The 12,667-nt window shown below is 50.4% G+C and overlaps 1 protein-coding gene across 3 annotated transcripts, besides 9 other annotated features; it reads left to right on the plus strand.

Moving 5' to 3' along the window:
- Positions 104-398: an enhancer, noted in NCBI's record as "tiled region #10017; HepG2 Activating DNase matched - State 4:PromP, and K562 Activating DNase unmatched - State 1:Tss". NCBI's record gives its function as "activates a minimal TATA promoter and a strong SV40 promoter by Sharpr-MPRA in HepG2 and K562 cells {active_cell/tissue: HepG2 | K562}" and the evidence as "EXISTENCE:reporter gene assay evidence [ECO:0000049][PMID:27701403]".
- Positions 124-173: a silencer, noted in NCBI's record as "silent region_16494". NCBI's record gives its function as "represses an Ori minimal core promoter by ATAC-STARR-seq in GM12878 lymphoblastoid cells {active_cell/tissue: GM12878}" and the evidence as "EXISTENCE:reporter gene assay evidence [ECO:0000049][PMID:35858748]".
- Positions 194-353: a silencer, noted in NCBI's record as "silent region_16495". NCBI's record gives its function as "represses an Ori minimal core promoter by ATAC-STARR-seq in GM12878 lymphoblastoid cells {active_cell/tissue: GM12878}" and the evidence as "EXISTENCE:reporter gene assay evidence [ECO:0000049][PMID:35858748]".
- On the plus strand, positions 344-11,951 carry PCYOX1L (prenylcysteine oxidase 1 like). Of its 3 annotated transcripts, none has more exons than NM_001301054.2 (6): positions 344-470; positions 4,935-5,141; positions 6,334-6,508; positions 8,240-8,451; positions 9,658-9,798; positions 10,291-11,951. In NM_001301054.2, exons 1-6 carry the CDS (start codon positions 434-436, stop codon positions 10,950-10,952), a joined length of 1,434 nt encoding a protein of 477 aa, NP_001287983.1. In that variant the 5' UTR covers positions 344-433; the 3' UTR covers positions 10,953-11,951. The 3 variants fall into 3 exon arrangements, with proteins under 3 accessions (NP_001287983.1, NP_001287986.1, NP_076933.3); NM_001301057.2 differs by having other exon boundaries at positions 8,417-8,451; NM_024028.4 differs by having other exon boundaries at positions 344-454.
- Positions 374-583: a silencer, noted in NCBI's record as "silent region_16496". NCBI's record gives its function as "represses an Ori minimal core promoter by ATAC-STARR-seq in GM12878 lymphoblastoid cells {active_cell/tissue: GM12878}" and the evidence as "EXISTENCE:reporter gene assay evidence [ECO:0000049][PMID:35858748]".
- Positions 8,604-8,898: a silencer, noted in NCBI's record as "tiled region #12528; HepG2 Repressive non-DNase unmatched - State 8:EnhW". NCBI's record gives its function as "represses a minimal TATA promoter and a strong SV40 promoter by Sharpr-MPRA in HepG2 cells {active_cell/tissue: HepG2}" and the evidence as "EXISTENCE:reporter gene assay evidence [ECO:0000049][PMID:27701403]".
- Positions 9,152-10,016: an enhancer, noted in NCBI's record as "H3K27ac-H3K4me1 hESC enhancer chr5:148746417-148747281 (GRCh37/hg19 assembly coordinates)". NCBI's record gives its function as "activates a minimal SCP1, AML or CMV promoter by ChIP-STARR-seq in naive H9 embryonic stem cells {active_cell/tissue: H9 hESC(naive)}" and the evidence as "EXISTENCE:reporter gene assay evidence [ECO:0000049][PMID:30033119]".
- Positions 9,641-9,690: an enhancer, noted in NCBI's record as "active region_23370". NCBI's record gives its function as "activates an Ori minimal core promoter by ATAC-STARR-seq in GM12878 lymphoblastoid cells {active_cell/tissue: GM12878}" and the evidence as "EXISTENCE:reporter gene assay evidence [ECO:0000049][PMID:35858748]".
- Positions 9,781-9,860: an enhancer, noted in NCBI's record as "active region_23371". NCBI's record gives its function as "activates an Ori minimal core promoter by ATAC-STARR-seq in GM12878 lymphoblastoid cells {active_cell/tissue: GM12878}" and the evidence as "EXISTENCE:reporter gene assay evidence [ECO:0000049][PMID:35858748]".
- Positions 10,017-10,880: an enhancer, noted in NCBI's record as "H3K27ac-H3K4me1 hESC enhancer chr5:148747282-148748145 (GRCh37/hg19 assembly coordinates)". NCBI's record gives its function as "activates a minimal SCP1, AML or CMV promoter by ChIP-STARR-seq in primed H9 embryonic stem cells {active_cell/tissue: H9 hESC(primed)}" and the evidence as "EXISTENCE:reporter gene assay evidence [ECO:0000049][PMID:30033119]".
- Positions 11,952-12,667: the final 716 nt, after the last annotated feature.

Genomic DNA, 12,667 nt, shown 5'->3' on the forward strand with positions numbered 1-12,667 from the left:
ATAACCGAGGTCTTCAAAGCTTCACTTTGGTCTGTTTCATCCCTCTGCCGCAGCTGGGCCCTGGTCCTGATGCTGAGGACCCGAAGCGGGCACACCTGCGCCGGGCAAGAATGAACCCAGCCAATGAGGAGCCCGCATGCGGGGGGCGGGGCGGAACGGGGAAGCTGCCAATGAGAGAGCCTACCCCGAGAGAGATGGAGCTAATGAGGGCCTCGTGCTGGAGAGGGACGGCGGCTTGGCCAATGCGGAGCTGGGTCTGGCGCGGCAGGAAGGCGGGACTGCCAGTGGGGCGCCGGGGCGGGGCGGAGAGCCGAGCGCCAACCCGCTAGCGCCTGAATCCGGCGTGCTGCCCGCTCGCCGCCCGCCATGGCCCGCGCAGCCCCGCTGCTCGCCGCGTTGACCGCGCTCCTCGCCGCCGCCGCTGCTGGCGGAGATGCCCCGCCGGGCAAAATCGGTGCGGGAAGGACGCGGTGGGGTTCCCAGCTGGGGAGGGCCGGCGGGTAAAGGGTTCTCAGTTCTCAGCTAGGTGGGGTATAGGAGGGCGGCTGGGTGAGGGAGGGGTCCTCGGAAAAGGAGCTGGGTGGAGGAGAGGCGCCGAAGGGGACGCGGCAGGGAAGGTCCTGATGGGGCCGGGGCATGGCATGTGAAGAGGGCCACCTAGGACGGAAAAGAGGCCTGGGCAGGACTGGCCGCGGATCTCACCGGGAGGTCCAGGGTCGCTGAGCATCTGCCATGGTCCTGGCTGTTGGCTAGGCGCCCGGGTGACAGAGGACAGAGAGGCTGGGCGATGGCATTCACAGAGGTTGGTTGAGGGCTCTCTGTGTAGCAGACGTGGTGCTGTAGTTCCTGCTGGGGTAGAGCCCTCACAGTACAGGGAAGTCCGTGCTGAGCTGAGGAAGTACGGTGCATGCAGAGGAGGGGCGCTTCACCCTGTCTTTGCGGCCCTGGGAGGGCTTCCTGGAAGTAACATCTAAGCCAAACCACCCCCAGGTCGATAGGAGACAGTCCTGGCAGAGACAGAACACTAGGTCCGCTGGAGATTTGCTGACAGAACGGGGAACTTTTAACAACAGTCTTTTTGTTTATTGTGTGTGTGGTTTCCCCAATACTTTATTTTGAAAATGTTCAGATGTACAGCAAGAATTTTATAGTGGTCATCTGTATACCCACCACCTACATTCTGCCATTAACTGCTGCTATACTTGCTGTGTCACATAACTATCACGCACTGTTCTAGACATCCACGAATCCAGCCTACATTTTGATGCATCTCCAAATAAATTGCAGACATCAGGACACCTCACTAAATACGTCATCGTGCATATCATTGACTAGAGTGTCATATGTGTTTACAGTTGCTTTTTTTTTTCCTCCCTCAACAACTGTCATTTTAACTACATGACTCGTGAAGATTTTCAAGTCCCTCACACGTGATATTCCCACAGGCAGAGATCCTGGGCTTCGGGGTGGGAGGACAAAGACTCTATTCCGCTAGGCCACTCTCCATGCACCCCAGTTGGCAGGAGTGCCTGGAACATCTGATAGAAGCATCACAAACTTACAGGGTCCAGTGCAGTGCTAAAGCTTCTTGTGTAGCAGAACCACAGCCCAGGCCATACAGGGTTAAGAAGACTGAAGCATGCCAGAAACCAGTTTGAGACTGAGAGTTTAGTGCTTGCCAAGAAAAGAGAATCCTGAGGCTAGAGTAGCCAGAGAAGCCCTCATGGAGAAGGTGGAGTTTGAGCCAGGCATTGAAGGATGTGGAAGAGTTAGGCAGGCAGTATCCATGAGTGACCATGTGTTCTCTCTCTGTCCTTAGATCGTTTGAATACAGTGTGGCTAGGAGTAAGCAGAGTGTGCTGTGGGAATATGCAGGGCACTCCCCGTTTTCTTAGGAACAGGCAACAGGACAGGACATTTCTCACCATTGGGGAAGGAGCAGGACCTCCACCCAGCAGAATTGCTGCATTGTGGCAACATGGAGCTCTCTGCCTCCTTCCTCCCAGCTGGCCCTTCTGGCCCCATCCAAGAGTCATCCAGAGCAGGACACTTGGCAATGCCTCACTGCCCTTCAGCTTTCTAGATTTTCCTCAGCCCTCTGACGGGAGCCTCTGTTCATCCTTGGTGGTTTGGACTCTACCCACAACAAGAATGCGGATTCCTGTTAGGATGGCTTAATGCTTGTGCTTCTGCAGGACCAAATCTGAGAACCCCCAAGTGGCATCAGGACCCTCTAAACCCACCCATATAGTTCCATATGCTGCCCTTCTCATGCTGGTCTCTTTGCAGAGTGTGCGTGTCCTCTCACTGACAAAGCTGATTGTCCTCCAGCATCTTGCATGAAATCTTATTTCCCCAAGAAGGCTGTGTCCCCACACCCTCTGGGGCAGAATTCACTGCTTCCCCTTCAGGACTCCCTGGAACCCTGTTGCACTTCATCATGGGTTGTCGTTGCTAATTGCGCAGGAGTCTGTCTGCCCATTCCATGCTGGGGTCCTGGGGGACAGAAGCCTGTTTGATTTTTCTTTGTGCCCCAGGACATCTTACTGTAAATTAGAGAATTGGTGTCAGTTGTGTTAAATGAGCTGGTTCACAATGAAGTGGTGTCTTCTGCTTCCTGATCTTGGGCAGCTTCTAGGCCTTAATATCAATTTCTCTGGAAAAATGGGTAATTTGGGACTCTTTGCACATGGAGGGGATGGGAGCACACTGGTTAAAATAAAATCCAAAGCTGTCTTGGAAGTGGCTTTGTAAGTACTGTGAGAGGAAGTGGTTTATTCTTTCAACACAGAAAAAATACTTCATGAACTCTACTGTCCACCAGGATCTGGGGACATAGTGATCATGCACTCTCTCTCTGTCCTTAAATAACTTGACTACAGTACGGCTAAGCAGAGTGTGCTGTGGGAATATGCAGGAGGAACACCTGACTCACCTCAGGTGGGTCAGTCAAGCCAAGTTATAGGTGACATCTGAGGGCTGTTGAAGCCAGTGAGACACAGGGTGATGGCACTCCTATCAAAGGGAACAGCTCGGACAAAGGCCCAGGCATGAGAGAACAAAGCTATGTGCCCACAATAAGAGAAGCCTAGACAGACAAGAAGGTGGCATCTTGGGAGGGTAAAGCAGGAAATGGAATAAGTAAGCAGAGGCCAGATCATAGAGAACCTGGTGCTGTCTGAGGATTGCCTGTGACTTCTGGCAGGAACTGGTACTCTGTGGGTCCAAATGGGTCCAGTAAGGACAAATTACACCAGATTTATTTAATTTTCTTTTGGGGTAAGGCCTCTGGACTGTCTGATGAGAAGAGAGTGGTGTTTCAGATACATGGTGAGCAAAAATTATAGGTAGGGTGGTAGTCCAGTTCAGTAGCTTCATAGCTGGTTTATAGTTCTCTCACAGGACTGTTTAATGATTAGTGTCAGGTGAGGCACAGTGGCTAATGCCTGTAATTCCAGCACTTGGGGAGGCCAAGGCAGGAGGATCACTTGAGCTCAGGAGTTCAAGACCAGCCTGGGCAACATGGTGAAACCTCATCTCTACGAAAAATATGTCGGGCATGGTGGCATGTGCCTGTAGTCTCAGCTACTTGGGAGCCTGGGAGGTTTGCAGTGAGCCAATATCATGCCACTGCACTCCAGCCTGGGCAACAGAGCCAGATCCTGTTTGAAAAAAAACTGATTGATGTCTGTCCAGGCAGTGGTTTCCTAGCAGCACCTCCAAGCCCTGTCCCAGGAAACATTCTTATCAGTGACTTCGATGAGAATAGTGATGGCATGTAAACCAAGTTTACAAATAACAGGAAGGCAGGAGGTACAGTAAAGACAGTGTATGATAAGACCCAAAAAAGCTGAAACTTTGTAACAAGATTTCAAACTGGAATATAGTGTCCTGTAGGGTAATGAACAATCCATCATAGAGTACATTCCAGTCTCTTTTTTTTGAGATGGAGTTTTGCTCTTGTTTCCCAGGCTGGAGTGCAATGGCACGATCTCAGCTCACCACAACCTCCGCCTCCCAGGTTCAAGCGATTCTCCTGCCTCAGCCTCCTGAGTAGCTGGGATTGCAGGCATGCGCCACCACACCCAGCTAATTTTGTATTTTTAGTAGAGACAGGGTTTCACCATGTTTGTCAGGCTGGTCTCGAACTCCTGACTTCAGGTGATCTGCCCCCGCTAGGCCTCCCAAAGTGTTGTGATTACAGGCGTGAGCCACCGCGCCTGGCAGATACATTCCAGTCTTGACAAACACAGACATAAGGATGATTTAGGTGTCCGATAGTAGGTTGGACTAGACCAGGAGTTGGCATACTTTTTTCTGTAAATGGCCAGAGAGTAAATATTTTAGGCTTTTCAGGCCATGCAGTCTCTGTTGCAGCTACTCAACTCTGCCTAAAATGAAAACAGTCATAGACAATAATTGAAAGAAAGAGCATCATGGCTGTGTTTCAATAAAACTCTAGTTTGCAAAAACAGGCATCTTTCTGGATTTGGCCTGCAGGCTGTAGTTTGCCAATCCCTGGATTAAGGCCTGGTTTCCAAACACTGATCACTGAACAGAACTGGTCAGTAACTTTTAACAATTCATAGGGAAATAAGAAAGTTAGAAGCAAGGTAGTGAGTTTTATATAAAACTAAATTTATTCTCTTTAATTGGTCATCCTGACTTTCAGTATTCTTTGCTGGTCTTTTGCTGCAAAATACCTTTTTCTTTATGAAACGAAAGTATAGTAGGCAGCAGTTTTCAGGTTTGCCTTTGCTTATTAATAGCTCTACTGACAACTCAGTCCGCAGATTTCCTTTTGGAAATGTTATAAGCCTAGGAAATTTAAGCACCTGGGAACCACCAGCGCAGGAGGATACAAAGTGTGAACTACAGCCTCTCACTCTCATGTTCTGTCTCTCTTCTTCCCTACCTCCCGGGCCTGCTGACAGCGGTGGTTGGGGCTGGGATTGGGGGCTCTGCTGTGGCCCATTTTCTCCAGCAGCACTTTGGACCTCGGGTGCAGATCGACGTGTACGAGAAGGGAACCGTGGGTGGCCGCTTGGCCACCATCTCAGTCAACAAGCAGCACTATGAGAGCGGGGCTGCCTCCTTCCACTCCCTGAGCCTGCACATGCAGGACTTCGTCAAGCTGCTGGGTGAGTGGTCAGTCCTGGGGCTCCAGTGCCCAGCGCCCTGGGGCTGGTGACAGCACTGGGCCCTTCTCAGACTTCCCAGACCATCAAGGCCAGAAGGTCATGTGGCCCAATCTCATTTTACAGATGGAGCAACAGAAACAAGAGAGGGGAAGGAACTTGCCTGAGGTTACACAGTGAGTTAGTTGCAGAGCCGGGATTAGAACTCAGGTTTGACTCCTAGGCCAGTTTCTTTCCCTTTCAATTTGCTGCCTCTAAATAATCGTGATTATATCACCTTCCACATGCTAGTGCTTGCCAGGCACCTTCTGGGTGGTATGTAGGCATTACCTCAGCTCCCCTCTACCAACCTGCAAGATGAGTGTTATATCTCCTCTTAAGGCAACTGAGGCTCAGAAAATGTATAGATTTAAGCTAAAGCCATTACAGCGAGAGGTGGGATTCAAACCCAGCAGCATCTGTCCAATACACGTTCTGTTTGATGCAGAAACTCTGCTTCTCAGAAGTGATGCTACAGGTGGTCTTACAGATGTGCAAAGTAGCATAGATACCAAGTTATTCACTACAGCATTGTTTGTAATAGCAAAAGGCTGAAAGTATCCTAGCTGCCTATCCACTAGGACCTGGGGTTAAACAAATTATTGTATAACTACACAATAGGCTGTTCAGCAGTCAGAATGGGGAAGTCTTTATGCCCAGATACAGGGCAATCTCCAAGATACAGTGTATTGTTAAAGTGGAGAGCAGTGTGTGTAGTATGTGGGGGTGGGGAAGGAACAAGTCATAGCAGCTCTGTCTGTGTTTAGGAGTCCACTGCTCTGTCAAGTTGCAGAGTGCAGGATGGCTGTAAGGAGCTAGGATAACTTCCAAGTGATCTCAGTGCCCAAGGCCACCATCTCCAAACAAGCCCAGTGGCTGTCACCCCCTGGACATTCTGGGATAAAATCTGAATTTCCCTCACTTGTGGATCCTCCTGGGGAAAAAAAATGTAAAATGTTACATTATTTTCATTTTCATTTTTTTATTGACTTGGTAGTCCAAACATTTTCCCAGTGCATCTGTTTACTGTTTATTAACAAGCAGCACAAATGAACAAACCATAGCATTTGTGTTTCCTTTAATGGACCAGTCCATTTGCATCAAGAGGGCCCCAAGTCTTGGAGGGGACCTGAGGGGCTCCTCTTTGTCTCTGCAGGGCTGAGGCACCGGCGCGAGGTGGTGGGCAGGAGCGCCATCTTCGGCGGGGAGCACTTCATGCTGGAGGAGACTGACTGGTACCTGCTGAACCTCTTCCGCCTCTGGTGGCACTATGGCATCAGCTTCCTGAGGCTGCAGATGTGGGTGGAGGAGGTCATGGAGAAGTTCATGAGGTAGGGCTGGCAGAGCTGTGGGGATGGCGTTCCAGGGGAACCGAGAAGAGGTGGGGGAGGAACCAGCTTGCCTGTACTTTGTGAAAAAGGAAAAGGTCCTTGCTGAATTGAGCCAGCACAATTCAGTGCAGGCTCAGAGCAAGCCCCTGGCATGAGGAATGGCCGTATTTGGTCCAGTAATGGTCTCCCTAGTATTGTCACATTGACTCTCATTTTCTTACCCTCTACTACACTGATACTAATAAAAGCATGGGTTGCAAACTCAGTCGCTTAACAAGGGCTGAACTGGGATGCGAGTCAGTGAATCAGCAGGTGGAAGAGAGCAGAACAAGGCCCCCTCTGAAGGAGGCAGCCAGCCCTCCACCGCAGCCATCTGCAGCCAGCCGTGTACAATGCCCACCTCATGTGGCTAGATCTACTCACTTTTCAGAAGAAGCTGGAAATCCAGAGTCGTGTGTGAAATCTTTTCAGTTTTTCAACATTTGCAACCAATTCATCTTGTAAGCCAAATGAAACACTTCTGCAGGGCAGATGCAGCCTGTGGACCACTCATTTGCAAACTTTGTTGTCCTCATTTTTCCATCTAGAATAAACACCTTTCTTCACCACTCCTCCTATCCCTGGGCTCCAGCCCCCTCCCCATCACCTTTGGTCCCAGATGTGGAGGGCAAGTGGTCTGTTCCCTCCCTGTTCACCAAGCTGTCACTCCACCTTTCCCCAAAGTCCCTCCTGAAGGTGCTCCCTGCTTCCAGCCTAAGGCGCAGGGGCTGCTCCCCGGACCCCATCACTGTCTGCCTCCCTTCAGTGTCACTCAAGTGTGGCCTGTGCCCTCCTGCCCTGGTTCCTGGCACTTCTCCACTCCCTTCCCATTCTATAACTCTGCTGTTTATAGCACTTCTTCCTTATATTCTCCAGATGTCACCCAAAGCTTATTTCCTTACCTCTCTTTCTGATATTTTTCTCCCTTATCAATTATATCCAGACCAATAATGTTGACTTCTACGTTTTATGGGAAATGACTTCTCCCTCTCAGCCCTAGTTTCCTCTTCACTTCCAGACCCACATTTCAACTTTCTGGACACCTCCATCTCGTGTCCTATTGATAACCAAACTCAACATGTTTACAAAAGAAGCCCTAGAATGGGCAACATTTCAAAGGCCAGCCAGTCAGGAAATCCATCGATGGTTCCAATCCATGCTAGTGAGATTGCATGAGTGATAGAGCGACAGGACATGAGCCTGGGGGTGAGTGGGAGCCCTGTCAGATGAAGCGAGAGGAGAGGACAGGCTGGACTGGCAGAGAAGGTGACAGTATCAGCATGAAGTTGCAGTGTGTCATCAGGTCCTAGAAGCTGTGGCAGAACCGACACTGTTGGAGAAGGAGATGTGTCAGCAGGGGTGGGCCGTAGCCCCAGCTGGGTGAAGAAAGGGTTATGAACTATGACCTCAGGCAGGGAGTGGCTCAGAGCAGTGATACAGTTGTTACTCAGCACAGCCGTGATGTGAAGCCAGGCCTAGAAGGATTCCATACCTTCACACTCCCTTTAGGTGGGACAGGCCCGCCACAGTCAGAGAACAGGTGCCAGGGAACATGACCAGCCTCTTCTGCCACCACTCCATGTAGAGGAAGTGATGGGTTCCTGGTGGGCCTCCCAGGCACTATAACCCAGGGGCAGGTGGTCAGGCAAAAAGCCTTCCTGCACAAGGACTCCAGCTCTATGTGTCTTCTAGGATCTATAAGTACCAGGCCCACGGCTATGCCTTCTCGGGTGTGGAGGAGCTGCTCTACTCACTGGGGGAGTCCACCTTTGTTAACATGACCCAGCACTCTGTGGCTGAGTCCCTGCTGCAGGTGGGCGTCACGCAGCGCTTTATTGATGATGTCGTTTCTGCTGTCCTGCGGGCCAGCTATGGCCAGTCAGCAGCGATGCCCGCCTTTGCAGGTAAGCGTCCAACCCTTGGCCTGCCCACCTGCCCCTCCTCCACCCAAGGTGCTCAGAATGGGCTGGGGGTCCCCATAATAACCTCACTTTTATCCAGCTCATTGCAGTCACATAGGCACTCTGCTGCCCCATCCTGCCTGATTCTGGGACTGGCCATGAGTTGGCAGGAGATAGTATCACCCCACTTCACAGACAGTGAAAGCAAGGCTCAGATCACAGGTCCAGTGTGTTTCTACCACTCCCAATTGCTTCATAATCCCTTGCATGTGTGTAAATGTTAGAGCTGAGATAATGCTCTGCTCTCTACACTTTGGTTTCAAGAACTGCCCTGTTGAGGCCTTTGAGCCACTGTGAGAGCACCTCCTCTTCCCAGCTCTTCACGGGAGTGGCTGGGCCTGTGTGTAGCTCACTGTCTGCTAGCACAGACCACAGGAGTGGAGAATGTAGGCTTCACAAGAGCAGGAATCCTTGTCTATTGTTCCCTGATACATTGCAAACACAGAACAGTGCCTAAGTCATACTAGGCACTGGGTATATTTTTGTTAAATAAATGAATGCAAAGGTTTACAATAACAAGCACCTCCCTCGTACCCTCGATACTGTTCATCTGGCTCTGCACATGCTGGCTCCTTCGCAGCCTTCAGGCCCTGCCTCAGTGTCCCCTCAGTGTTCCTTGCTCACTCTTTCAGTATCTTGTGTGTCTCCTTCATAGCATTTTTGTGTAGAGATATATAGAATTCACATACCATATAATTCGCCCATTTAAATTGCACAATTCAGTGGTTTTTAGCACATTCGGAGTTCTAAAACCATCACCACAATCAATTTTAGGACATTTTTATCACCCCAGAAAGAAACCCCCTTGCCCTTTAGCCCTCACCTCCCCAACACCCCCCGGCCTCCCAGCCCTGGGCAGCTACAGATCTGCTTTCTGTTTCTGTGGATTTGCCTAGTCTGGGCATTCTGCATAAATAGACCTCACAATATGTGGTCTCTGGGAGCTGGCTCTTTCGTTGAGCACAGTGTCTTCCCCCCATAGCATTGTGCACTTTGTTGTACTTACTTGTATGTTTGCCATCTCCCCATGCCCATGGTTGGGAGAGTTTTGCTCTGGCAGGGAGGCCCAGTCGAATAGTACTGGACTCCCCAGCCCTCCTGCCCCACGGCCCTGACAACCTATCAGCACCCACTTCCCGCTTTGCCCAGGAGCCATGTCACTAGCCGGGGCCCAAGGCAGCCTGTGGTCTGTGGAAGGAGGCAATAAGCTGGTTTGTTCCGGTTTGCTGAAGCTCACCAAGGCCAATGTGATCCATGCCACAGTGACCTCTGTGACCCTGCACAGCACAGGTGAGTAGACAGGGCGGGAGTGGGCAGGCATGCCATTCCCAGCCAGTGGACAGACACTTCTGCCTCCTTTGTACCTCAGCCCTGGTCTGTGATCCCCCTGGGGAGTATTTCCGAAAAAGCATTGAGAAGCCCCAACCCTGCCAGGTGACACTAGAGGGTGCTGTTTCCCCAATTCAGATGTCAGCCAGAAAGCTGAGACTTCCATCGACCCAGCCTTTTTCTGTTGACCGATGAGGACTTTGAATGACATCCTTGCCCACGCTCCCCCAACTGGCCAGCGGCGGAAGCAGAGCAGAAACTGAGTCTCCTGACTCCATGCCCCTTGCTTCTTCTGCAGCCGCATCAGCATGGAGAGGCCAGGACCCACCATTTAGACAGCCCTGCTGCACCCTGAGCACCAGGGTCTCGTTGTACCTCAATGCTGGACCCCAGTAGGGAGTTCAGTGGGTAGAAGCCAAGGGAAAGTTGACTTTTGTGCTCTTTTCTTTCCAGAGGGGAAAGCCCTGTACCAGGTGGCGTATGAGAATGAGGTAGGCAACAGCTCTGACTTCTATGACATCGTGGTCATCGCCACCCCCCTGCACCTGGACAACAGCAGCAGCAACTTAACCTTTGCAGGCTTCCACCCGCCCATTGATGACGTGCAGGGCTCTTTCCAGCCCACCGTCGTCTCCTTGGTCCACGGCTACCTCAACTCGTCCTACTTCGGTTTCCCAGACCCTAAGCTTTTCCCCTTTGCCAACATCCTTACCACAGATTTCCCCAGCTTCTTCTGCACTCTGGACAACATCTGCCCTGTCAACATCTCTGCCAGCTTCCGGCGAAAGCAGCCCCAGGAGGCAGCTGTTTGGCGAGTCCAGTCCCCCAAGCCCCTCTTTCGGACCCAGCTAAAGACCCTGTTCCGTTCCTATTACTCAGTGCAGACAGCTGAGTGGCAGGCCCATCCCCTCTATGGCTCCCGCCCCACGCTCCCGAGGTTTGCACTCCATGACCAGCTCTTCTACCTCAATGCCCTGGAGTGGGCGGCCAGCTCCGTGGAGGTGATGGCCGTGGCTGCCAAGAATGTGGCCTTGCTGGCTTACAACCGCTGGTACCAGGACCTAGACAAGATTGATCAAAAAGATTTGATGCACAAGGTCAAGACTGAACTGTGAGGGCTCTAGGGAGAGCCTGGGAACTTTCATCCCCCACTGAAGATGGATCATCCCACAGCAGCCCAGGACTGAATAAGCCATGCTCGCCCACCAGGCTTCTTTCTGACCCCTCATGTATCAAGCATCTCCAGGTGACCTACTGTCTGCCTATATTAAGGGTCCACACGGCGGCTGCTGCTTTTTTTTAAGGGGGAAAGTAAGAAAAGAGAAGGAAATCCAAGCCAGTATATTTGTTTTATTTATTTTTTTTAAGAAGAAAAAAGTTCATCTTCACAAGGTGCTTCAGACTTGGTTTCTTAGCTAGAAACCAGAAGACTACGGGAGGGAATATAAGGCAGAGAACTATGAGTCTTATTTTATTACTGTTTTTCACTACCTACTCCCACAATGGACAATCAATTGAGGCAACCTACAAGAAAACATTTACAACCAGATGGTTACAAATAAAGTAGAAGGGAAGATCAGAAAACCTAAGAAATGATCATAGCTCCTGGTTACTGTGGACTTGATGGATTTGAAGTACCTAGTTCAGAACTCCCTAGTCACCATCTCCAAGCCTGTCAACATCACTGCATATTGGAGGAGATGACTGTGGTAGGACCCAAGGAAGAGATGTGTGCCTGAATAGTCGTCACCATATCTCCAAGCTTCCTGGCAACCAGTGGGAAAAGAAACATGCGAGGCTGTAGGAAGAGGGAAGCTCTTCCTTGGCACCTAGAGGAATTAGCCATTCTCTTCCTTATGCAAAGATTGAGGAATGCAACAATATAAAGAAGAGAAGTCCCCAGATGGTAGAGAGCAGTCATATCTTACCCCTAGATGTTCATCCCAGCAGAAGAAAGAAGAAGGTGTTGGGGTAGGATTCTTCAGAGGTTAGCCTGGTACTTTCTCATCAGACACTAGCTTGAAGTAAGAGGAGAATTATGCTTTTCTTTGCTTTTTCTACAAACCCTTAAAAATCACTTGTTTTAAAAAGAAAGTAAAAGCCCTTTTCATTCCTTTTGGACCTGTTCTTTTCTGTAATGGAAGAACTAAGTCTTAGGTTCCCGGGGACCAACCACTACATTAGTATCTTCTGGGGAAGGGGAGGGAGCCTTGAGAAAGATGCAGATGCCGAAGCCCTACCAGCCTTGCTAAATCAGGCTTTAGGGAAAGGGCCTGGGTGCCCAGAGTAACAACACTGCCAAATGCATGGGCAAAATACCCTTCCAGTTGGTGGAGGCCCAAACTGGCTCTGAGGTGGTTTTTACTGTGCCAGGGTGATGGTAATGGCAGTGAAAGAAAGTACAAGTAGCATGCACTTATAGATAACTATAGAAATTATGAAACTGACACATCAGTAAGAAGGCTTTTTTTTTTTTTTTTAAGAGTTTCATTCTTGTTGCCCAGGCCATAGTGCAATGGTATGATCTTGGCTCACTGCAGTCTTCGCCTCCTGGGTTCAAGCAATTCTTGTGCCTCAGCCTCCCAAGTAGCCGGGATTACAGGCACCTGCCACCATGCCTGGCTAGTTTTTTGTATTTTTTGTAGAGATGGGGTTTCGCCATGTTGGCTGGGCTGGTCTCAAACTCCTAGCCCAGGTGGTCCACCCGCCTTGGCCTCCCAAAGTGCTGGGATTATAGATGTGAGCCACCGCCCCCAGCCAAGTAAGAAGGCTTTTGATGAAGTGGTAGGAAACCAAATTCAAATTGACTTAAGCAATAAAAAGTTTTTAT

Source organism: Homo sapiens, chromosome 5 (genome assembly GCF_000001405.40).
Source record: "Homo sapiens chromosome 5, GRCh38.p14 Primary Assembly".
Classification (NCBI taxonomy): Eukaryota; Metazoa; Chordata; class Mammalia; order Primates; family Hominidae; genus Homo; species Homo sapiens.

Coding starts and splice junctions, on each gene's coding strand:
- PCYOX1L (NM_024028.4), top strand. CDS start 367: ATGGCCCGCGCAGCCCCGCTGCTCGCCGCGTTGACCGCGCTCCTCGCC. Junction 455..4,934: donor TGCCCCGCCGGGCAAAATCG/GTGCGGGAAGGA, acceptor GCCTGCTGACAG/CGGTGGTTGGGGCTGGGATT. Junction 6,509..8,239: donor GTCATGGAGAAGTTCATGAG/GTAGGGCTGGCA, acceptor TGTGTCTTCTAG/GATCTATAAGTACCAGGCCC.